We start from the raw sequence: 26473 nt of genomic DNA on the forward strand, positions 1-26473 counted from the left end.
AAATATATGTATTTAAATACATGAATTTTCCTTTTCACAGTGTTTTATCAGCATTCCATAGATTATAATATCAAGTATTTTATTATTGTGATTTTCTGAATAATCTCCAATTTTGGCTTTGATTTTTGCTTTGAGATAGTTAATTTCCAGCTAGTAAGTTTATTTTTCTTTCTGATTTTTTTGTTAGCTACCAATTTTCTTGCACTAAATAATGTGTATTGGTATTTTGCAGAATAGTATGTGGTAGAGTTTTAAGAATGCTTCATGAGAAGGGAACATATTCTGTTTTCATTATATATATAATTATACATGTATATATAAACACACACATATATACACACATATATGTCCATATAACATATATACATACACACACATGTCCATATAACATATATACATACCCAAGTATAAAACTTACATATATAATCTATCTTATTAACAATGCTGAATTTTTCATAGTCTTGCTTATTTTTATTCACTCAATCTTTCATGGAATAAGAGAGATTAATATCTCCTACTATTAATTGCTTCTAAGTATTTCTCCCCACATTTCATATATGAGCAGTCTTGAAAAAGTTTATGAAAATGCATACTATGAAAAAACTATGCATGGATTTCAAAACATTTTTGGCACAAAAAAACTAGTACTAACTTCTTATAATATGTCTGGACAGGATCTAAGAAGGGTAAGACATCAATTTGAAAAGAGCCCTTATCAGAGCAACATGAATTCTGCTAAAATTGAAGCAAGAACAAACAGCAAATTTATGGTGAAGCTTGGGTGGAAGAAAGGTGAAATCACTGAAGCTTTACCAAAAGTTTATGGGGAGAATGCCCCATGGAAATCAGCAGTTTAAAATGGATAACTTGTTTTAAGAAGGGATGAGATGATGTTGCAGTTGAAGCCCACAGTGGCAGACCAGCTACATCAATTTGCAAGGAAAAAATTAATACTGCTTGTGCAATAATTGAAGAGGACCAACGATTAACAGCAGAAACAATAGTCAACACCACATCTCAATTGATTCAGCTTACACAATTTTGACTGAAAAATTAAAGCTGAGCAAACTTTCCATTTGATGGGTGCCAAAACTATTGCTCCCAGATTGGCTGCAGACAAGAAAAGAGCTTTCAATGGAAATTTTAAACAAGCAGGATCAAGATCCTGAAGCGTTTTCCAGAAGAGTTGCAACAGGAGATGAAGTGTGGCTTTTCCAGTATGATCCTGAAGTCAAAGCACAATCAAAGCAATGGCTACTAAGAGGTCATAGTGGTCCAGACAAAGCAAAAGTGGACTGGTCGAGAGCAAAGTTCATGGCAACAGATTTTTGGGATGCTCAAGGCATTTTGCTTGTTAACTCTCTGGAGGGCCAAAGAACAACGACATCTGCTCATTATGAAAGTATTTTGAGAAAGGTAGTCAAGCTTTAGCAGAAAAATGTCCAGGAAAACTTCACCAGAGAGTTCTTCTCCAGCAGGACAGTGCTCCTATTCCTCTCATAAAAAAGGTCAATTTTGTAAGGGTTTCAATGGGAAATCATTAGGCATCACTTTACAGTCCTGATTTGGCTCCTTTTGACTTCTTTTTGTTTCCTAATCTTAAAAAGTCTGTATAGGCCACCCATTTTGCTTCTGTTAATAATGTAAAATAGACCACATTAATATGGTTAAATTCCCAGGACCCTCAGTTCTTTAGGGATGGACTAAGAGCTGGTATCACTTACAAAGTATCTTGACCTTGATGGAGTTCATGTTGATAAATAAGATATATGATTTTAATTTTTATTTTTTATTTCAGTTTTTCCATGAATATTTTGAAGTTCCCTCCTATTTTTGCTTTACAGAATTTGATGGTGTGATAATTTGAGTCTGGTATCTGTGGTTGTTACAGCTTGTGTGATTATACTGTACTTTTATCATAAAAAATACCATGCTTTTTCTTGTTCAATAATTTTTGTCTTGATGTTAACATTATCTGATACTATGAATTTGCTATTCTGTGCTTAAACCAAAAATTCTATTGATCCAAATGCCTTTGCATATGCTTTTACTTTCAACTGTTCTAAGTTCCTTTTCTTAATTTTTAATTTTTATTTTAAGCTCTGAGGTACATGTGCAGGTTTGTCACATAGGCTAACAAGTGTGCCATGGTGGTTTACTGCACCTATCAACCCATCACCTAGGTATTAAGCCCAGCATGCATTAGCTATTTTTCTTAATGCTCTCCCTCCCCCTACTACACCCCCCCTCCAACAGGCCCCAGTGTGTATTGTTTCCCTCCCCATGTCCATGTGTTCTCATTGTTCAGTTCTCACTTATAGTGAGAACATGTGGTGTTTGGTTTTCTGTGCCTGAGTTGGCTGAGGATAATGGCTTCCAGTTCCATCCATGTCCCCACAAAGGACATGATCTCATTCCTTTTTATGGCTGCATAGTATTCCATGATGTATATGTACCACATTTTCTCTATTCAGTCTATCATTGATGGGCATTTGGGTTGATTCCATGTCTTTGCTATTGTGAATAGTGCTGCAATAAAGTTTATTTTTTGATAACATTTTTATGCAGCATAATTTTTGGGTTTACTTTTTCACCATAGGTCTTTAAAAAAAAGCCCATTTTTATTTACTTATATAATATGTTTGTCTCAGATTTGCCATCATATTTTCTATCTTTTCTATTTTTTGTTGCCCCTTTTGATGGTTCATCTATAATTTAGTAAACTACATACCTATGTTTGCTTTATGTAGGTGTGATAGTTCTGAAACTTCAGAAATTTCCTCTGTATTTCATTTTTAATGCCCCTAGCACCACTCTTTTAACAGCAGTTTTTTCTCTGATGTATTCAAGAGTTAATTGACTTTGGCGGGGCAGGGAGACTCTGACCTACAGATGACAATCCTTAAAACTTTTAGCCTTGGTCTCATCCTAGATTCCACTCACCTGCTCATTTATGTCTCTTCAGGGAAGCAGTGGCCCTGTCTATTAGAGAGAAAGGAACTCTAGAGGGTGGAAAAGAATAGGAAACACCTGAATGTCATAAAAGGTGGGTGGACTTTTAACTTAGATCTATACATCAATTAGAATATTAATTTTCTATAGCTTTTTATTCTTAAAATTTAATTTTGTTATTTTACTACTTTCAATAGATAAGTTAATTAAAGGATACACTAATTAAAAAGATGTTAATTATATCTATTAATCTGGAGGGAATATAATTCTGTATTTTTAATTAAGAAAAGCAAGTTGCAAAATCTTATTTGTAGTATGAGCTTTTCATTTGCCAAAAAATTATTAAACATTTCCCCACCTATTTTACATATTTGCATTGGTTTCGCAATGGAGGGGTGGAAAATATAAAGGAGGTTTTAGGAGATTACTTTAAATATAAATATCTTTTCATTATTTATGGTGAGCATATGCTAGTTTTGAAATTTTAAAAAGAAATTTAATTAAGAAATTTAAAAACTGGATAACTTTAAATTAAATCACATAGGAAGTTCAGTTAGAGAAATATAAATGGAAAAATTGGCAACAAAATGTCAAAAGATGTTTAACTTTGCTCATAATTTAAACATTTATATGTAGTTGAAATTAAAATTTACCTTCAAATCTCACATTGGCCACTATTTGGTGGTCTGGTCTATGACCACTCCTCCTTCTTTTTTGTTTGCTGGATTCCCCACTCAAGAAGTAGAAGAGGTGATCTCACTCCCAAACTAACATGGGCGGCTCAAAGTCTAAGTCAAACATATAATTATTATGCCCTTTTCATATCAAGTCTTTTATTATTGTGAGTGTGGTCATGTGACCTCATTCTGGCCAATGGGATCCAAAAGAAAGTGTACTAGGTGACTCTAGAAAATGTTTTTTCTTCAATTAAAAAAAAAAGTCCCATGAGAAAAACTAGCCTCTTCTTTTTTTATAGAACATTATTTTCTTTGTATGTGACCACTACAATAGTTGTAACTGTCCTTTGGCAATGAGCACAGCCATTGTCAGTGTGCTGAAGACAACAGAACACAAAAATGGAAAGCTCCCAGGTTCTTGGTAACAAGGTTCAGCTGCTGAATCAACCAACTCTATAACTAACACACCTGTGGACTTTTCATTTCCATAACTAATTTTTAGTTGGACATTCTATTACTTACAGTGAAAAGCATGCTGGTTAATATAATAACCCATGTTGAAGACGGTGTGGAAAGCCAGCATGCAGGGGTAGAGGGTAGAATTATGATTTAAAACATCTTTGGGGGATAGTTTGGCAAATCAACTACAACTGCACTTAAAACTTTTTTTTTAATGACAGGGCAATTCCACTTCTGGGAATTTAACCTACTGCTATGCTTACATTTGTGCACAAAGATATATGCACAGAGTGTTCATTGAAATTGTGGGTGAAATAGCAAAAGAATAAACACAACCTAATAATCATCAATAGGGGAAAGGTTAAATAGATGATTTTTATATGGAATACTATGCAGCCCTTAGGAAAATTGATGGATGGACAAAAAATCTACACATTATATTGTTTTAAAAAGATATATAGAGTGCATTTAAAGTGTTATAAAGTATATAGCATGCTATTTTTGGATTATGATTGTATATGCAAAGACTTTCTGGAAGGATAAAGAAGAAACTATTAACCATGGTTGTCTTAGGGAGGGGAGCTGGACGTCTAAGACAGAAATGGGAGGGGTATTTATTTTCACTGTTTATTCTGTATCTTTAAAATGTGTGCCAATAGCATGCATAATCTATTATGCTTAATTAATTTTGTTTTAATTAATTAATAGATAAAAGATTATTGGAGGGCATATCCTTTCTTGGGAAGATGCCTCGATATAAAAAGGACTCCACAAAATAGAATGACGTCAGGACCCAGTGCAGTGCTGTCGAGTTGAACCCTGAGGGTGAATGTAAGCAGAGCCTTGGAGTTAAGTAGCTCAGGCCTGCAACCTCCTTCTGCAGGTGGGTAGAGTTCTCCTGCTGCTGCATTGGTGCTGGGGATGCAATTACAGGAAGAACAGTTTGTTGGGGAATGAGACTCCTGCTTGCTAGCCTGGCAGGTCCAGTGCTCAAAAGCTGTGGCAAAGCAGCAAACTCAGAGTACTGGATAAACTGTCACTATGTCTCACACTTTCCTGCTTTATACAGGCCACTTGGAAACTGGCAGCTACGAGATGCAGAGCTCCGGAATGGTCTTTGGAGTCAGCAGAACTGCGTTCCCATCCTGGCAATGCCACTTACACCCAGGGTAACCATAGGCTTTTATTTATTATAAATGTATTTTGTTAGCTAATTAAACTTATTTATTAATTTTCCTAAAAGAATTATCTTTAACATTTTTCCAGTAGTAACAATTGTGCATGTTGGATCTACATAAATCTAAATAAAACAGAAATGTATAAAGTGAAAAGCAAAACTCCTTTCTGTCTCTTAATATTTCCCCTTTGCTTCCTACTACTCTGATAATTGCTGCTTATGACTTGACCTTATTTCCTTCCCAATTTTAATGAATGAATAAATAAACCTAATTGTTTAACATGAATGGGATTCTACTATACATTTTATTTTCTCCCTATATGCAATATAGACCAAGAGTCAGCACAATTTTTTTGTGAAAAGTAAGATGGTAAATATTTAGGCTTTATGAACCTTATCCTTTGTCTCAGATACTGAACTCTGCTGTTGTATCAGAAACTCAGCTATAGATGATATGTAAATGAATGGGCATAGCTGTGTTTCAATAAAACTTTATTTAGAAAACAAGCAAGTGGCAGGCTGCATTTTCCTTCAAGACGTAGTTCACCAACCCCTAATATATAACAATTAAGTCTACCTCATCTTTTTTACTGGCACTCCATGGAATGGGTGAAGAAATTCACTTTCATAGTCACCCATATATAGATATTAAAAGTCATTTCCCTTAGAAGCTCTCTTAAATAAGCACCAGTTATCCACTAGCTGGATTAGCTGATGTCTGTCTCCTTTCTCCTGTGAACAAGTTAACGGCTTTCCGTGGTATACTGAAATTGTGTGTCTTGCACAGAACTCCTTACTTCACCTGTGTCCTTGGGAGTTCACCAGCTGAGCTGACCAGCAGTCTGAGCTTGTTTAAACACCTGTACTTGTTATCGTAGTATGCAATTGAATTAAACAGTATGTTAACCAGAGAAATAGAAGTGAAGGAAAGAGATTGTTGACTCCAGAAAAATGAAGTTGATTATTTTTGGAAACACCTAATTTAAATGCTTTTTCAAAAAAAAAAACTGTTGAATTAGGTATAGGTTGAGTTAATTACAATAGACTAAAAACCAGCGAGCATGTGGTAGACTTTGGGGTGAAGGACCCATAGCATCAGCTCCTTGGGAGAGGAGGCCAAGCGGCCAGGCTGAGTATGGGTTCAGGTTCAGCCCAGGTCCCTCTTTGATTTTCAGAAGGTTGACTGGTCTGGGGAATCTGCCTTCTGCCCGATGAAGCCCAGGCTCTCACCTTGTCTGATCATCTTTCCTGGGTCTTGGGGGACCTCATGTCTCTGACTACATTTAGCCTACGTTTTTATACTCTCTGAATGTGAGAGGTTATTAAGCATGAGATTCTGTTTCTCCTCTCAAAGGCTGGTCCAGTAACATTTAAAATAGCGTTAAGTCTGTATTTACATTTTGATGTCACTCTTGCTTTATTTCCTTAGCAGACTCTCTATTCTGTTCCACCCATGTTTTTCTCCCAAGCAGAATCTATCTTATCTGACATTGCAAAGCAGTTAACATTGATTCTGGTGAATGGTCTACTTTGATTTTTGCTACAGGGAGATTTTAGTACAAATTCACATATATTGTTTTCTCAACAAATGGAAAATTATGTTCCACATTCATTGTGCTGGGTTTGCCGAGCCTGCTCTTTTGAAACTCACTGTCTCATCTCTTATATTTGCCTTCTCTGTCACTGTCGATGTTTTCCTAATACTTCATCCTTTACGCAGACTCCTTCCTTGGAGCTGAATTTGGCAGTGGAGTTTGCCTAACTAATGGGGACCATATGCTCTGCAATTACATTCCCCAACAACATTCAGATTTGTTAGCAAATATTGGAGAAGGCAAGTTGAGAAACTGGAGTGCAAAGGACAGTCAGGAACTGGCACATTCTGACAGGTAAACCTGCATTTGCTGACCACTGGAAATAAGTTCCAGTTAGGGCTTATACTGACTTAGGTAGAAGGGGGATTTGTTTTTTTAAAATATCTATCAGTTGGTATACTTCTCTTCAAATAGCTAAGTGCGCCTCTGATGTGTTCCCAATGGCAAACTGTGCTTTCCCCTGCAGATCAATTTTTAATACATGACTATCACCTGTTTATTTGTTGATCCCAACCCTCCCCCAGACTGGAGAACTGGAATCATAGAATTCCTCACTGTTGTTTTCCCAGCTCCCAGCAGAGGACTGTTAACATAATAGCTATTCAGTAAATATTTGGCTAATGAGCAAATGAGACAATCTCTAGAATACATTAAATCTCAATACATTCTGCACATTACATCTGTATGCCTTGGATGGCTTTTTCCCATTCTCCAGATCCTTCCCTTTCTCTAGGCTGGACCAGCTTTACTCTTGGGAGTCCAGGCCCCTGAAAAGAGTGCAAACTCTGAAGGTTCTGAAGAAGGTTTAGAGCATGGCCCAACATGGCAACATTCATTTTTAAGGGCTTTTTTTTTTTTTTTTTTGGCTTTTAAAAGTTCCATCTGTTGCCCTGTTGGGGATGAGCGTGGAGCAGGATGAGTTAAACCTTTAACACATTGTCCTGGGTTTTGATAAGCTAAATGCAGGGGAAAGAACACCATTTGTCTGTGCAAATGGCAGGAAATGGTAACTAGCTTGAGAGTGGGTGGCTGAGGGGAGAAATGCTTTAGCTTTTCAAGGACCTACTGAATGCTGTGCATTTCTTTAGTGGCCGGCTTGCTGGAGCCTTCTGCAGGAGCACCTGTCCCATTGGCCCCAGTGTGGCTGCGTAGGGCTCTCAGGCACCACGTTGAATGACAGCAGCTCTTCCTCTCTGCCGTGCCTATTGCAGTCTTGGGCAGCACCCACTGACTGGCTCCTTGAAGACCATGGAGGTGGGGAGGTCTATTTGCACTCGAAGCTGCAAAGGGAAGCTCATGGTTTCAATCAATCCACAACTTTGCCTTCATGGAGGAGCATGAAGGGAGGAGACAAAAGCTGCCTGATTAGAACTCAGGGACCTCACCATCCCCAGCTCACCTCTCACCCCCATGGCATGTAACTGCTACAAAGACACAAGAAACACTCCTTGTTTTAGAACACAAATACATAAATTTTTAATCTGCGAAAAATACAAAATGAAACCATGTACAAGTTATGTACAAACCCTTTTTACAAGACAAGAGAGTTATCACTGGTTGTTACAGATGACAGAGTTGGGTAGATCATTTCAGAGCACCAGCATATAGTCTCTTCTTCAATTCCTGTCAGGTCAGAGTAATTAATCATAATCATAATCATAATGCCAACAATCAAAAGATTGAAAGATGAATAAGCCACGCTCTTTTTCCTCAATGAACATGTAGGCTGAACTCTGCATGTGTGTACTTTTTTTTTCTTTGTCCCCTAAAGAAACCTTGAAGTGCAGGTTTTGGTGTTAAGCAGAGAAAGGTTTCTTTTCAACATCTGGGTGGTGGGATGTGGGCCAGAAGTTTTAGGCAGGATGTGATTGTGCCACCTGGGAATGCAACGTTTTTAATTAGGATTTCCCAACAGATCTGGGTTTGTGTTTGAAATGTTGCAGTTCTGGTCAAAGGCGTGTCAGGCTGCATTGAGCGGAAGGAAGGGGAGGAGAGCGAGCGCTCTGGGGCAGATGGGACTCTGGTTTTGTGTGGAAGTGAGGCTCAGTCCACCTTGCGGGCGGGGCTCCTGTCCCTGCCAGCTGCCTTCCCACGCTGACCCTGAGTCCCATGGGAGGGAAGCACTGGGTCACTCCCGCAGGCGTGTGTCAATGCCTTGTGTACATTTCCATCTAAGATTCTAAACAGTGGGGCCCGGTAGTGCTTCCCAAGGCAGGCATGGCCGAGAGCATTGGTGTCACTTCTGCCCCTGTTCTGTTAACTAGCAAGATGGAGGAGAAGCAGCAGCACAGAAGTCCTCAAGGGATAAGCAAAGGAAACCTTTCTAAACTGAAAAACCTACCTAAAAATAAAGTCCACTTTCACCTGGCCAGAACATCTCTTCTCACAATGCCTGTTCAGAAAAGCCACCAAAGCAAGGTGGTCGTAGCATTTGTTTTCAGACCCCTGAAACTAAGGATGCAGTGTGTGTGCTGTTCAGGGAGGGAAGAAGAACAGTGCAGTGACATGCACAGGAAGGTGAAAGGAGATGCCCACCCTGAGACCCCTCCCTGGTGAGTCCTCCAGAAAGACTGCCGATCACCACAGGTTCTGTCCAGCCTCCATCCACCATGGCAGCCACAGTGATACATAGTGGCCGAGTGACTGCCCACGTGGGCCAGACCTCATGACAAACTCTGGGAATATGGACAAATAAGCAGAGTTCCTGCCCTTCGAGTGAGTCTTTTGACTTGTGCCTCACCATCTCCAACACCTTTCATCTCCAACCTCATAGATGATCTTCCCTCTCTTTCTTAAAATTCCCCTCTTGTTTCTCATTTCCCTGGTTCTGGAGTACCCTAGATCTCCTGTCCCAAGAAGTTCTACTTATTTTGCTCCTTCTTAGTCCTGAAAAACTTGGCTGTAGCCCACAAACACATCTGCCAGCTGATCTAAACCTACACTTTCTCCCTAAAATAATTCATCCAGGATCCTCACTTTCTAAGTGCCTCTGTGGGTCTGGCTTCCACATCTGCAGGGCCTGTTGTAGCCCACTCCTTTACTCCCCTGTCCCACTCCTCTTGCCTGTGTGGCCTTCCCTCACGGACAGCTCTCAGCTTTTCTTGCTCTGGATGAACCCAATGTAACATTTCTTAGCTGCTGTACTCACTGCCTCCGCTTCTTGCCTGCTTCTCTTGTTTTCCTATTCCTCCACATGGTTCTGTCCTTGAGGACAGATTAGGTGTGTGTCCACTGCACAATGAATATACTCTAGACCCACAGCCATTGCCCCACATCCAGTCCCTACAATCCCAACCAATCTTCTACAACTATTACGATCTATAACATTTATTTGCTATTCAGTGTTCACATTTATTCAAAAATTATTTATTGAACACCTGTTTTGTGCAACATGATCTTTCCAATATATGTGTGCCTTGTGTTCCCAGTTAGGCAGGTGGGCTGTCTTCCTCTAATAGTCTTACCATCGTGAGGACACAGCAGCTGCTCAGTAAATATCAATTAGCAGTTACTGATTAACATCATTCACCCTGCCACATGCCAGATAATCCTGCCTTCATACCTAGAATGCTGATCCTCTACTTATCTAACTCCTAAACCCCCCTTTCTCTAGAAATCCTACCTTGTTGAACCACTTCAAACCACAGCATTTCTCCCTTGTTTCAACTCCTACCATATTGAATGTGAAACTATGTCATTAGGGCTCACCCTTTCTCTAATGGTGCTTTGAGCATGTTTTCTTTCTTTAGTTGTATTATAAGCTGATTGATGGCAGAACCCATATTGTGCTCATTTCTCCCCCACTCACTCCTTGTACAAATATTTTATGAGTGCTAATTGGTTTCTAAACAAGGGCTACCTGATTAGCTGCAAGGGTGTTTTCATAAGGGGAATTCCTATTTGGCAGTTCTGGACTATTAATTATTCTCTACTATTTGTGGATGTCCTGCCTCATGTTCTTATTATATTACTGTCTAGAAAACAGTATGATTGGCAGGTTTTTAAAAATTTATGTATCTATTCCTACCCTCTAATCTACTTTGTGAGTTTGTTGCTGACATTCTAGTAATTCAGGAGAGTCAGGACGTTCTACGTCTGATGGTCCTGTGACAGAAAGCAAAGCAAAATGTGTGAGGAAGGTGCTGCACACGGTGAGTTGTTGACTTGGAGTGTGCACCCTTTAGCACTCCTTGCTGCTGAGAAAATGTTCAGTTTTGTGTGCATTCTCATGATATCTTCCAGGAAGAACTGACATCTCACTACTTTCAACCTGAAAAATGCACAGCCATTGCTGCCCCATCACTCTTTGCTTAAAACTCTGAGTGGCTTTTCATGACTTTCTAAATCAAGTTTCAAACTTTATCTAGGCCTTTAGACTGTACTTTGTAGCCCCTTCCATGAAGTCTCATCTCAGTTTTCCTCAGTTCCCCTACACAAACTTATCACAGTAGACAAAATAGTCAATCTATTGAAATCACATTCCTACAAATACATCATGGCCCATTAAGTCCCATCTCCCTGGAAAACCCTCATATTCCACATCTTTCCAGTCCTGTCACCCATTTACTATTGAAATGCCTCCAAAGCCCATCAAACATTGTATACCTCTGCATTCTTGCCAGCCTACGCAGTTCAATGCAAACTCTTCTTTCTTTCAACCCAAAGAACTACTCTTTGTACCATATGCATGCCCATAACTCATGGTATTTTAAAATACTGCTTATTATATCTTTTTCTTTTTTTTCTTTCTTCCCAGATTCTTAATGTATACCCCAAGTTTGGCTTATCTTTAGATAGGGAGTCTCAGGTCCTTTTTGTGATTAAAAAAATATGCCAAAAGAGGAAGGTCTGCTACAGGTGGTCTAAGTCAGAATTCTTTCTCCAATCTATCCATGTGGGGCTGTGATATCATGGAGCTTCCAACTGTTGTAGGGCTAAAGGTGCCTCTGCCTTTGAGCATGTAGGCTTCTTTTTATACATGTTTTAAGCAAGCTTACCATAAAAATTGAAAATTAGGCTCTGTGGTCTCTTAAGAAATAAAATTAAAAATGTTTTCCAAGTTTTCTTATTTTTATGGAAATCTTGAAATTATTAACAACTGATACTTTATTGGAAACAAACAATCAGAAGAGACTCCACTTAAACAACCAATATGACCAAACTAGTACAAACTGCCTAGGAATCATTTATAATTACTACTGTCTCATAAATAAATCCAAATAGCGTCATCACCTCCTCAAATGACCTGGGATTTATATGCTAAATCATCTCTGCTGGATTAAAAAAATTGCCTTTTGGGAATAAGGAGAGGATCAGAAAGGTAATTTACCAGAAGATTGTAAGTAAATTCTGTTTCTTTTGCTTTTTAAAGAGGGTGAGTCAAGTCCTCATTAGTGAAGGTCCTTTCAAGGCTCATGGTGACTGGTGGCTTTACCACCATTCCAAAAGCAGCAAGTAAGAACAAAACAGAAAATGGACAGATTCTGCCCTGGAACTCAGTGTTCAAGCTGAATGGATCTACTTAGTCTCCTAGGAGTCAAGCCGGCTCACATCTCAGTCAATTGGTTGGATAGTCTTTGTTTCTCTCCCTTCCTACCTTTATTCCTCAATTTCTTCCTTCCTTCCTTCAATGAGATTCTCTTTCACAATGAAACACAATAGATTAAAATTACATTTGTGAATGTAAGTAGCTAAGAGATGGTTAGTTTATTAATGAAAGAAAATAACCAAATAAACAGAGGACAGGAAATGAAGTGAGAAGGAAGACTGGTTACTTCCTGAAGATTCACATGGGGAAACATAAATGGGGAAAATGGCAGGAATTTGGGGTCTCTTGAACCTCTAGTTACATACTAGGAATTGGAGACATGGCATAGAGATGAAGGGATTAACTGAAGCTGGGCCTTGAACCAAAAAAAAAACAACAAAAAAGGGAAGGCAGGGATGAAACTGAGAAGAAAACCCTAGAAACAGGCAGCAAAATTTGACCAACGTGATGCAGGTGTGTCCAAATTGAGAAATCTGCATCTTGAACCTAAAGAGAATCTAAAGTGAAAAGACCAGGAATGAACCTACCTATTCTATGTCCAGAGCAGAAAATGTTCACCACTCCTGAGTAAGGCTGGGAGTGTTGCCTGGGTGATGCAGCAAAAAGGACCTTTATTCCAGTCCTGGACACAATAGTCTGCATGGGCTTAGCCAAGGAGAAGCAGCCACTCCCATGTTCCCACTCCTAACTTAGATCACGTCCCCTGGGACCTGAAAGAGACCTTAGAGTCATCTAGATGAATCACTCTCATTTACAAATGAAGTCACTGAGACTCAGAGAGTTTTAAAAACATTTTTAAAGATCAAGTTTGTTGTTTGTAAATGTGGCTCTTGCACCCTCATATTAAATGGTAACTAGGGAACTTGTGCTTTTTCTCCTTTCAACATGAAAAAGTCCCAAATTTCTTATGCTTTTTCACTTTTCCTTTATCTAACCCTAACACTTCTAATTTCCTGTTTATTTAAAATCTTCAATCAATTTTTTTACAAAGTACATCATAAGGTGCCAGAACCCTTGGGAGGAAAGATTGGAATGTTCTCCAACGTGCCTTAGTCACAATCACTTTTATTTAAGGTGTTTTATAATGGTTCAAGATGATATTCTAAAATATAAAATTGCTTAGACAAAAATAAAAGTTTTCTCAAGGAGAAAGGTTATGATGGTGATGATATTTTCTGCTTTGTAAACAGCCTGTTGGTGACCCACAGCACCCAAGAATCATTAGTTTGGGAGAATGGCTTTTCTGGAGCCCTAAACTGGGATAGGAAATCAGAGCCTCATAATGTGGACTGTACCAAAGACCCTCCTTGGTCTCAGGCGGATGTAGGCAGAAAGACAGACTGTTGCAGTGGAGATGGATGGGACTCAGGGCCAAAGAGCTCAACAAGTAGGAACAAGCCAGGGAGAAGCTCTGGCATTTGCTTGAGCCCTCCAGTGATTTCACAAATGTTATTTCTGTTTCCATTTCGTTTCTACTTACCAGGCACCAGCTTTTGCCAAAGGGCCCAACAATCAGTCATTTTCCTACCCCCTTAACAAAATGCCTCATTTTGTTTTCTAGTCCAGAACAATTCATTATTACAACGGCAACACAGTATGAACTTATTGCTCTATTTAAAAGAAAATGAATTTTTACCAATTTGGTTTTTTTGGGGGGGAGGTGCTTATGAATCAAGGAGCCCTTTGCTATAGGAAACTATCCTAACTATTATGATTTTTTTTAAAAAAAGTTTAGATTAAAATTTCTAGCCACAAATGCATCGGTGGATGTGTGGTGGGGCTGGAGTTTGCATTTCTGCTTCCAGATTGCCTTGTTAGGGGAGACACAGGGAAGAGAGGGTCATGGGAATGGAGCTTTGTGTCCTGTGTCCCTCTAATGGAAGATCCTTTATGTGGCCACCACAGCCTGCCAGAGGAGACCAAATCACTCTAACAAATTTGGAGGTGGTTATTACGAGCAGGAGTGAAGAGCCCACTATGGTTCACGAAGGAAAGAAGAGCGTGGATTGACGTGAATATACTAAGGTGACCCCAATGCAAAATCATTATGTAAAAAAGGCCTAGCTTTCAGGAAAGTTGTCAAAATCCTAGCAAAACGTTCTCCCCACAAACACATTTGACTTCTGTTGGAAACCAAGAAATGTTTATAAGCCTGAATATAGACTGTTGACATCATTTTAGTCTGCTGAGTAGGCTAGTGATTAATTATAAGTAGTTTTTAAACAATCCAATTGGACATACATTGTATTCACAATACTTTTATAGAACTAATTCTACAAAATGTGACGACAGAGTAACCACAGTCCGACAAATCACTGCAGGACAATGCCTACGAGGTGGAAGCACGACTATATTGGCTCTGCAGGGAGTGGACAGAGGTGGAAGCTCATTTTGCCTACGCTGGTAATTGGAGTACTTAGTGGACATATGTCTTCATGATGATCTCATTGCTTTGCTCTGATCTGATTTGCACTACCATAACTAGGTACCACAGGTCATGGCCCAAAGAGTTAATGGACTAGATATCATGAAACTTCGGGGAGATACTTTGGTTAGCTTGGTTCCATTAAGTGTCCACAGTTTACATTTTTTAAGAAAATAGAAATCACTATTACATCCATGCTTCTCCAGAGACCTTGATGATCATATCAAAGATTGATAATTTTAAAGTTGAAAGACTTGCTAAGTTGATTGGAACAAAACAGTTGCCGGGAGACTGTACACCGAGCATGCAAGCGATAGCAGAGCTCTGAGACATCGTAATTGCATCTGATGGCTAGAAAAATCTTTTGACCGCAGTTTAAAGTGGCTAATTTATTTGATTTCACTGCTGGTAATTTTCAAAGGCCTTTTCTAACAGTCTATATGAAGTGCATTCGTTGCTTTCCTTTTGTTATTATTATTTTTAAATTGTTGTAACAAGTTCATGTGTTTGGCCCCAGCAACTAAATAAAGGAGAGCATGCAAATTAAAATCTGTCTCCATGATTGTAGAAATTTCCTGGTTTTTAAACAAAAACTCAGTGAGAAGAATGACTGCCCTCTCACATCCTATGGTAAAGTAAAACTACTAATCAGTTTTACAAACTTCCAGGCTAAAAGCTCTGAGACTTGGGGAGTGGGGAGAAAGTCCACCAGACCCTCCCGAAGTTGACATTACTCGCTCAGGTGGTTTGGAAATATAAAATGAGAAGCATAACAGCACGTAGGAGTCTCCACCACTAGAACAGCAAACAGAGCAATGCCTTGTGTGCATCTGGTCCTCAGCTTCCACATCCCAGGTGTGCCCACAACCCTCCTGGTGTCCTTAGTTGGCCAGACAAACCTGATCTGCCAATTGTAGAAAAGCAGCAGAAGGTCTTCCCTTTAAAAATATGAACAAAGGGGTGAGAACTACAGAATGAAAACTAGAACTACAAAAATATGACTTTCAACTGTGAAAATAAATAAGTTTCCATTTATTAAGAGCTGGTGTCAATGCAGATCAAAATACACACCCATCCAGGCGAGGAGCAGGTATTCACCTGTCCCCTTAGTCTTCTTTTCTGGATTTACTAAAATACATGTATACATCATTGGCCATTTTAAAATTGTTTTAATAATTCATTTCCCTTAATTACAATTAATTGTGGTGGTGACCATCATTCTCCTCAAAGAAAAAGAGAGAAAGAAGAGAAAAACACATTAAGGAGTCTGACCACTTATTCATTTAGATTTTGCATTGTTTAGATATAGGGAAGATATTTGACAATGAAAAGAAAAAATATATTTTCTTTCTAATAAATAAAAATAATTTAAAATGCTAGAGGCTATACATGACTATTTTAGTATGTTCATTTATAAATGAAATCATTTTCTTTTCCAAAATACATGGAAGCAATATTCAAGGCAGACAAAGAGAAAGATCTGTCTACTTTATTTTCTGGCAATTCTTGCTTATCCTAACGTTTCCACCAGTGATTCAGCATGTAAGAAGAAAAGTCACATCACCATTTATGAAGTTTGTCAGGCTTTAAAAAAATAGTTCTGGTCTCCTGGGAGTCAACATTCATCTTCAACTTCTCTGATTGGTGGAATCAAGCTGCTTGTGGATTTATATTGGTTGATCTGGTTAGCCATGTGGGTACTCATGGGCTTGATTTGAATGTTTCTGGGATAGGCATTATCCGGTTCATCTGTAAACCATTTCTTTTCTGCTAAAGGGCAAAATGGATAGAGAACAAGAAGGAGAAATGAGAAGTTTAATTAGTCCTAGGGTAAAGCCTTTGGAAAGTTCATTGAAAAACGCAAAAAGGTAATCGATAGAAGCCGACAGTGAGTAATTGCTAAGAGAGACAGTGCAGTGTAGGGAGGACCCCAGAACCTGAAATATACCTCTGCTTCCTGTAGCAAGTGATGAACAAAATGTGCCACTGGGACTCATAGGCACCATGGGCGGACCTCAGAGGCTAAGGAGGGATTGGAGAATGGACTCTGGCAATGTCCCTTGGAGTTAATTTCATGGCCAGAAAAGGTTTGGTGGGGAGGGGATGTTGCATATATCAGCCATTGGGTACAGACATTGTGCCTGAGGAGAGATGTGTGCATCCATTGATTTGAGTGGAACGGAAGGGCACCATCACCCTTGCTGCAGAGCGAGTGATCCAGAATCTTACACAGAATCACCACCTCCCAGCCTTTTCTTGGCTTTGCTTATAATACACACACTTAAAGCCATGTCTCAACTATACCACTCTCCTGTTTCATTTGTAGCCACTTTGGGGGGTCTAAACTAAACCCATAGATTTTGCTGGCCAAAAATCTATGAAAATCAGAATAGCGACCAATGTTTTAAAGAGGATTTTGAGGTGGCTTTTATTTCAAGAAAGAAAACTCTGTGTTGGTATAAAGTTATGAATAGAGTTCCAAGTGGCAATATCTTAACTGACTATAATAACCCAAGCTGTCGACAAGGGAGCTCAATGAAGTCTTGGCATTTCATTTCCACCCTAAATACAGAAATGGCTGAGAGAGAATGCTGAGTCAGGGCGTTTGGGGGCTGGGGTGAGAATGAAAATGGTCTAGCATCCTCTTAGCAGTGCAAAGCTATTTTACAAGACTCAACCCTCATCCCCACCTCTTTCTAGGATTGAAATTTTCTGGGAAATTGGCCATGTGTATAGATAGGAAAGGACTGGGCAAATAGGACATTCTAACTTGGGAATCATATGCCTCACTTTAGTGGCTTAGGGAAAGAAAAGAAAAAGAAAAAGGGTAAAAGCTATCAAGCACGTCCACTGCTATAGAGACAATGGCCTCTGTAGCTGCTTTTTCTGCTTACCAGAACAATTTGTAACTGCCTTGTCAGTGGTCCTGAATGGACACATTAGTGAAAACTGCTCACCTGGTTTGATAGGGGGCGTTGGGGGTGGGGTATGTGCATGTTTGGCTAATGATTTATAAATTATCTATGATCAGTTCATGACCACTCTGCTTGTTTCTCCTCAGTTCCTACTTCTGCTGTTTCAAGTGCCCTGAGCTGTCAATGTCGAGGAGGGCTGTCACTGGAGCTGGGATATGCCTGAGTCAAAGCCTCGCCCCAGTTTAATGCGGCAGCTCAGTTTACCCCACAGGAAACTTGCTGCCTCTTGCCTCGTTCTCCCCACCCCCTCTCCTGCTCTGGCTCACTCACCTATTATAATTAAGTTCACTTTGATTTGAACAGATTGGACGATAGGAATTCATAATGCTACATCCTCACAGTGAAGCTAACTGATTAAGTGCTTTAAATTATTCCCCCTGACAGAATGATAAAGTTACAATCTGTTCTGAGATGATCTACAGCTTGCCAGACTCCTACAGCTTCTTTCTACATTCATTTATCTTTTTGTCAAGCAGAGTTTTTTTTTTTTCCCTAAGCTTCAATTCCATAGATCTTTTAAAGTCATCAGCACATCTGAATTATTAATGAGGCTTTAGAGGCAAGGTTCCTGATGGGCTGGTTAAAAAAGGTTGTATAGAAATCCGGGACTGTGTACACATCAAAATAATTTCAGCTCCATTTAAAAAACCATTTAGTTCAAGTGTGACATAGATGAACCATTATGCATTTGTGGAAACCAATTTTTTGTGATCTACGATTAAACTAACCTTTCAGAGAGGAGTAAAGTGTGATGGTTATCATGTTTTAAAAGCTTTGCCAGGCCGCTGAAACAATTTCACACTACGACTTTTTCCAGGGGTTTATGTGTAAAGATGATTTTCAGAGAGGTTGAGCCTGGTGTTTGTGCTCAGGTTGCCTGAGCTGCCCTCGGTTTTGGCCATGCTGTTATGCAGACTGACTTTGCAAAGGGATTTAGTGCTAGGTTGGACATGCCAGGTTGGAAGAGTGAACTCAGCTGATGGAAATGAGTAGGTCTTTTGGGTGAAAGACCTAAGACAGCTGCAATTTGCTGAAATTTTTACAACTGCTGAAGAGAATAATTGTTCGGAATTTAGTCTTTACAGTTCAATTCAAAGTTGGCATTTTGACCTTTCGCGGCAGAGAGAATATCAATTTCCTTCTGCTGTCTGTAAGAAAGAGAGCATTATTTCCTCATTTAAACTTCTCTCTTTCCTTTTACATTTCTTGCCATTAAAAAAAAAAATCTAAGCAGAGTAGCCCATGTTTTGGCCATGCTGCCTCAACACAAGGAGTGAGTTGTGTTAACACACATTGTGGTGAGGAGTTGAGGTCTTCCTTATGCCTGAGAAACAGCTGTTTAATTTGGGTGCCTCCTAAGATATAAATGTGTGTGTTTTTGGAGACTTGGTTATGTAGGATGTTCAGGAAACGGAACTGTATGAATGCTCTGGGCGTTTTACTAAAATGTCTGGTGCAAAGGTATTTTACGAACAGATTCTCCCAACATGCTTCCAAGGAACACACATTTCAATGATCGCCAGCCATTCAGCATCCATGGAGAGTGCTGCAAGTAGGACAATGATAATTTGATGTATTGAATCTTGCCTTCTGAAGAAGAAACAATGCCAATGGGTGGCTACAAAATTGACCACGAGGAAGAGGACTCAGGGAAGCAGCTCTAATGAATGCTGCCATGACAAGGATAAATCCAAATCCCTGACTTTATCTCCACTCCCTGTTTCATCTCACATACCAGAAAGATTTCCAGGGGCTTTATTTTCATCTCTAAGATGAGAAGGGCAATTGATCGGGGTGGGAGGGCTTCCTCGCTGCCAGAGAAAAATAGCCTTATTTCTTAATAAGCTTCTTAAGGATGAGATGCCTGTTGTCAGTGCTCTGAGTACAATGTGTGACATGTCAGGAGTTCGTGGAGTTAGGAAAGAAGAGTCATTTCAGTCTGTGGCTGGGAGGGGGCTAGTGGGACAAGATAAAACTCTGGAAAACAACTGCAGAGAGATGCTGGTAGAGCAATTGCCACTGCCATTGGCAGATGTCACCTATCAAGACCAGCTATGCTATGAGCTGTCCACCATGAAGAAGCAAGGAGATGCGGGCTAAGGAGACAGCGCAGGGCAGGAGGTGAAAGTTAAGCAGATCTAGCTCACGTACTAGTTGCATGGCTCTGAACAAGTTATTAGCAAATTTATCTTAGCTTCATTCCTTTTCTGTAAAATAGGGCTGATGATACAAACTTCCTAATAGTGTTGTTTAGATAAATGAAGCCAGTACCCTTGAAGCACTTACACAGGTCCAGATACATGGTAAGTAAATGTGAGTTGTTAAGGTTATGAGTATTTGGAATAATATCAGCGGGCATTATATCACAGTGGCTAACTTCACAGACTCTAGTGTCTCTCAGATTCTGTGTCTTTCAAATGGAGACACAGCATCTCCATCTGAAGCTGTTGTGAGGATTGAGTTTGTATAGGTAACTAAAGAGTGCTCATGAGAATGCCTGGCCCAAGGCAATTGCTGAAGCGTTAGCTTTTAGAGTAAGTTTAGTACTAGCCTGAGTACTATCAGTACTAAAGGATGATGTAAGCATGGGTCGTACCTCTTGAATGTGATGACAAATGATGCCCTTCAGCAGAGATTCTGGGGGTAGAGAACAGGGGTGTGTATATCGGGGTGTATCCTGAAGAACATGGATTGTGGCAGCAGAGGTGACAGAGGGGGATTTGGTTGGTCATCTTCATTTGGAAGGTAAAGGAGAGGAAGAGGTAACCTGGTGTTATTTCTGGGGAGCTTAGGGTTTTTCCCCTCCCAGGGTGACTCTGTGCCTCTGAAATACTGGCTTTGACTCACCAGGCATCCTATCCCATCTGAGAGCCATCTGTTTCTTGCATTTCTAGTTTCATCACTGAGATCACAGGGTTTAAAATAAGGGTCAAAACCTCCTCCAGCCACAGGGCTGCAGGTCACCCTGGAGGAATGGGCTCTTGCAGGGAAGGGCCCCAGAGCTGGGCTGACTGAGCTGCCACCAGCAGAGGAAGAAACAGGCTGCACTGTGATAATTGAGCTTCTCTGTTGGCTCTGTGGGTTGTCAGTGCCATGGGATTTAGCCTTTTCACAGTACTCCCTTGAGAAGATCGCAGAAAAGGGGAGACAATGATACAGCAAAAGCATTTGGAATAATTGGCCCTCTTCTCACTACACCACAAGCTGAGGTTGAGAGAGAAAAGGCTCAAAAAGAAAAGATGCTGTTTGGAGAGAGACAACCGTGGAGAACAGTAAGGGCTAACAAGGAGCTTCGACCTTCAAGGGTAATGCTGTGTGGTTTCCTGTCCCGCGCTTGTGATAGGCAGCCTGGCACACTTCCTCTGCCCAGCAAACCCTGATGCCTCCTCCGTCCCCACCCACACATACTACCTCCTCTCCTCTCTGTGAGCAAAGTATGCTTATTTCATAGAGATACAAATTATTTGTACCAGAACAAAAGCAATTACCGTTTATGAAAAACCTTCTCACTTCTTTGCAATTGGCTACCATGACTCTGTCTCTTTTAACTGAAAGTCTGATGCTGCCATTCTTTGAGCAAACTGCTCTCCCAGCCCTCCTCTGTGGCCCTTGGTCCAGCCAACACCCTGAGGACAGATTCTTCACTAATCCCTTTCGGATAATCCCTCTCACCTCCAATGGTTGCAATGGGCATGCAATCTTGCATGGGAGACAGTCAGCCAGTGTAGTGACAGGTGCCCACAGCTACTTCTTTATCATATTGTGACAAAGCAGGGATGGGCTGAAAGAAGCTGATTGAGAAATTGATTTTTACCCTGTCTTGACTTCCACAGGCCCTGGAGTTTCTGTACTCTCCTCTTTCTCCTTCAAGGAGCCTGTTGCTATAGGAACCTGGCAGGTTGATTTAATTGTCTCTATTGGGATGCAGACACCTTTAGGCTTTTCCCATGCTGCAGAAGAGCCAGACAAAAGCTTTTTCTGGTCATCTGGGATCTTGATGATGCTGCCAAGAGGCATACTCAGTGTCTCTACTCATTGAGCTTACAGGGCTATTCCCCTTTCTCAGAAGCCATGTGACCAGCTTGAGAAAGTGCCACCAACACAGCAGCATCATAAGGCATGTAGAGGCACTCATATTTTTTTAAAAAAATCAAACCAAGAGGACAAGGGTAATATAGAAAATGGTTAAAGGTATAAAAATGTGTAAAGTCAATTTATATCAAATATTTATTGAGCACCGATGGTAAGGTTCTGGGTCATAATCTTTAATATTCAGAACAGAATTTGAAACCTCTCCCAATTGTGGCAGAAGTTTAACTGTGTGTATAAGAGTCCAGCTTTCTCCATCCATTTGAACTGGCTTTGGGAAGAACCTGGGTAGCAGACTTTAGGGACACTGATGATGCCACGATCACCCAAGTGTTGAGACTGAGAAGGCTTCACCGTGCCTTCTGGTTTACCAGCCTACTTATTGTTCACCCCTTTCAAAGCCCAAAGCAAGTTGGACTAAATGGCTTACAAATTTCTTCTCTTCTAGAATGGTGCAGATAACAGAGTTCCTAACTTTTTAAATGTATATACTTTATTTTCAAAGAACTCTCACTTTCTACCCTTACTTCCTTGTTTTTTTTTTTTTTTTTTTTGCGGGAGGCAGTGAACAGGAAGAGATATAATAATAAGAAACTTGTATGCCTACTTCCTAAGTAAGCAGATGTTCTACTGAAAGAGGAAGGGGAAGTTTGGAGTCAAATAGAAAACAATGGAGGGGACTCTTCACTCTATTAAGGAAAGTATAATATAGTAATTTTGGCAAATAAAATTGAAGTAGTAATGATCCTTCTCCATCATCAAATTTATCATTAGTCAAATATGGTGAATTCTCAATTATCTACCACTGGGGCATGACTGTGTGCCCAAAGTCCAGGAAAACCTCAAAATTCCATCTCTTATCATAGTCTGTTCCCATTCCATTCCCATCACAATATCATCTCATTGGAGTTGCTAACAGACTGTATATAAAACGCACTTCGGATTTACTTCTCTCTATCTGCCCGGTCTCTGGTTGGGATTTAACAAATGTCTGAAAGGCAGCTGGCAGGAAAGATTTGGGTAATACAGTGACTGAACCATCAGCTCCCAGATAACTGGGTGTGGGCTACTGAGTTGATATACACAGCAGAACACTTTTAATTTGAGTCATACTGATCAAGCATAAAGAAGACCAATGCTTTTGCCATTAATAACCCTCCTGGTTTAAAGGAGGATGAAATATTGACAGAGAAGCAAGTTTGCCAAATGGAATAGCTGTAAATGTTTTCCAGGGAAGTTTATCAACTGGCATCATCACTTGATTGAGTAGGTCTTGCCAAGATGAACACAGAGATGTGAACAGACCGATGGGGGGACTGGGATTGGGGGGTGGCAATGGGGGAAGTGAAGGAAGCTGGGTTTCTTGATAGGAAAATGCTTTCGGACTTGGAGCAAGGTACCAGGGTGGGCAGGGAGGCCACGTGCAGATTAAAAGGCAAGCCAGATGGAGAGAAGTTCCCCCCAAATTACCCAACCCCACACCCAAGAACACCAAAACAAACTCTAAGGAATCTAGCGATAGCAGCAGCACAGCCTCATTGCGCTGAGCAATTTAGAAAGTGGAAGAAGGAAGGAAGAGAAGAAGGAAGGGAAAAGGAGAGGGAAAGGGGAGGGGGGGAAAAGCAAAACAAAATAAATAAAACCACAAACAGAACAATATAAATAAAAATAAACAAACCAATAACAGAATAAAATTTGTAACTCCTTTTTTTTTAATTTCACAAAAGTTTTCACAAGGACAACGTTATAGAAGAAAACCCCCAGCAGTGGCTAGGTCATGCAGAACCATTAATTGTCATACCTTGGCCCATTCTATTCATCCTTGTTGCACTTTAGAGAGAGAAGTAAGCTATGTGAGTTTTACAATGCTTTTAAACTGTCATATTTCCTGTTGAGCACTTTAACTGGCACATTCTTATAGTTATAAATGTTCTGAGGGCGTAACTTTATAACCTCCTTTGCAAAGAATGCATGAAGAGCTCTTCATGATCCAATACTAGGGGATACATATATATAGTTATATATATAGTTATATATATATAATTATATAGTTATATATATATAATTATATATAGTTTATATAAAGAGATAGTTATACATAATATAAATCAATATATAGAGGGACAAAAATAATTTGAAAAAATTCTTCCACTCATAGGGCTTGATAATTTACATGTATACAATTATTCCCCACCACAATACTGGTTTGAATACTACGCTGCCCCTGTCTTTGGTGTGGGGGAGGGTGGAGGTTCTGACTGAGCCTCACCATTTGTCAGTAAAAGTGCTTGTCAATTCACACAGCAAGCAAATATCCAAAACTATCATGCTTGAGGGGACGGGGGATCCAAAATCTAAATCCAAAACATTCACCATAAAAACACCTTTTTAGAGATGGTACAGCTGTGACATGTTTTCCTCCTCCCTTTTACCCCTATTCTATTCGATGGAATTCTTTGAAGTAAAACTTTTCAAATATGTATATACCAGCCTAGTCCATCCATAAGGGAAATTGGTTATGGTGAATTGGCCAGTTTTTAAGAAATACCGCACTGCCTAAAGCATGATTTGCATGCACAAAGCATCTGACAACTATATGTTGAAAAAAGGGTATTTTTCTACCTCTCCTCTCATGCTTACTAAGTGTTAAAAAAGAAAGAAAACAAAAGAAGAAAAAAATAACTATACCAAAATGTGTTTGGCTCACTGTTGCACTCTTCTTATCCCACGTCTCATAATGACAAGGAGCAGCTCTCTATTGCCGTCATTACCCTGCCTAAATTGGCTACATTAAAGAAAGTGATGATGAGGAATTCCTTCCCACCAGCTTTCTGCATTGGGACAGCCAGCACCGCACAGCTGTGCCAACAGTTGAAGGTGGTGGCTGGCTTTTGTCTTTGTTGAGTCAACTGTGGCTGATCCTCCTACATTCTAATTTATTTAGCATGTCGGCTCCTAGAAAAGCATGATCTGCAGCTGGGTTTGTCTTCCTCTCACTCTACCATTGCCCCAGCCCTTCCTCCTACCTGGCATTGGGGCCCTAACTAATCAAACAAAGGGGAGTAAAAAGATCCCCTGAGAATGCATGGAAAAATACTTGCTCTTTCCTGAGCATTATTTATTCTGTACATAAGGTAAGTAATTCACCTTTTAAAAGATGTAAAAGTCCCAGGAAGGCAGTTTTTAATGACTTACATCTGATATTTATGATACATATGGCTTTTCATCCCAAATGTCAAAAGTGAAAGAAAAAAAATAGCTATTCATATGGCAACATAAGGAGACAGAATAACAATTTAATATGCAATCAAACCTCTTTTCACTTAAACTAAATGACTAGAATTTGATACATCCATGATTGGAATACTATTCTCTCCTCCATATTAAGGTGAGAAATGTTCATAAGAACTCCCAGAGGGAACTGGCTCTGGGACAAAAGGCCTTGGTGAGTAACTAAAAAAATCACTGATGTTCTCTTGCAACAAGCAGGTCCTTCATAATCATCTACACAAATCGTGAAAGCTTTTCAAATGCTTCGCAATACTTCGGCCCAGAGACTGGAAACAATCAATATGTTTTCATTGCTGTTTGGTTGCTTGTTTCAAATAAACATGTGCTAACTTATTGTGTGTATAAAAAAAGAAAGAAAGGAAAACAACAACAACAACAAAATCAAAACCCAAAGCACCCTGATAATCCTGATAAATCAGAATCAACTTTTCTTTTACATTAAATAAACTTGCTCTGCCTAACTGACGTTGATCACAAGTGCTCCCTTCTAATCTGTGAACTCGTTCCTGCAGTGAGCTATTTATGTCTGGAGCATGCCTTTGGGTTATTTTTCCCCCAGAATCATAAATAACTTTTGGTCCGTCTGCTTATTTGCTGTTGTGCTCAAGGGTTTTATGGTGGTGAAATAAAAATGACAACCACATGCACACTATCATACATATGCAAATATGTGTAAAAAAAAAGGGGGGGACTACAGGGGAAAACAGGGAAAGTTACTTTGTTGGAAACACCAACTGGGGAAATGAGTGGCAGATACAGTTTCACACAGTGGCGGTGGATACACATATCAAAGCCGCTCTTCCTGCACGTACTTCTGTTTGTCCCGGGACTCCCTGGACTTGGGCCGGTTCTGTCGGTTTGCTGTGGATGGGATGGAGTGAACAGAGGAGCTCTTCTTGCTGGAGGACTGCGACGAGTGGGAGGAATGGGACAGGCTGGCCCGGGACTGGCCGGCATTGTGGTCAAACTGCATTAAGCAGAAGATCAGGTCCGTCGGCACGAGCTCAAACTCATAGGGCGGGTTGGTGATGACATACCTGGACAGGGAAAGCAGAGATGTCACCTCCTGAGAGTAACTGAGTAAAGAATTCAACTCTCTCTGAACCAAAAGCAATGGCCTGGTTACTCAGGACTTTCAGAGGATCTGGAAGATGCACTCCTAGCTGGTCTGAGGCCTTAAACATTCTTTTTCTTGTTAAATGGAAACTTCCTCTGTTTAACTCAATAAAGGAGGCCAGCCAGGAGCCCAGGCAGAGATGTGGAATTAGAGCCAGTAATGGAAGAA

General features: G+C 40.0%; 1 protein-coding gene across 53 annotated transcripts in view; it reads right to left on the reverse strand.

Moving 5' to 3' along the window:
• KCNMA1 (potassium calcium-activated channel subfamily M alpha 1) overlaps positions 8312-26473 on the reverse strand; it is a 768207-nt gene continuing 750045 nt past the window's right edge. For 18 of the 53 annotated variants that reach the window (NM_002247.4, XM_006717826.3, NM_001161353.2 and 15 more), the window contains one exon: positions 23592-26225. In NM_002247.4, coding sequence (NP_002238.2) covers positions 25976-26225 — 250 coding nt within the window. In that variant the 3' untranslated portion in view covers positions 23592-25975. Of the gene's footprint in view, positions 16604-23591; positions 26226-26473 lie in introns of those variants that run through there. The other 35 variants (XM_017016222.3, NM_001322832.2, XM_047425199.1 and 32 more) reach the window with 3 other exon arrangements.

This window comes from Homo sapiens, chromosome 10 (genome assembly GCF_000001405.40).
Source record: "Homo sapiens chromosome 10, GRCh38.p14 Primary Assembly".
In the NCBI taxonomy this organism is placed as follows: Eukaryota; Metazoa; Chordata; class Mammalia; order Primates; family Hominidae; genus Homo; species Homo sapiens.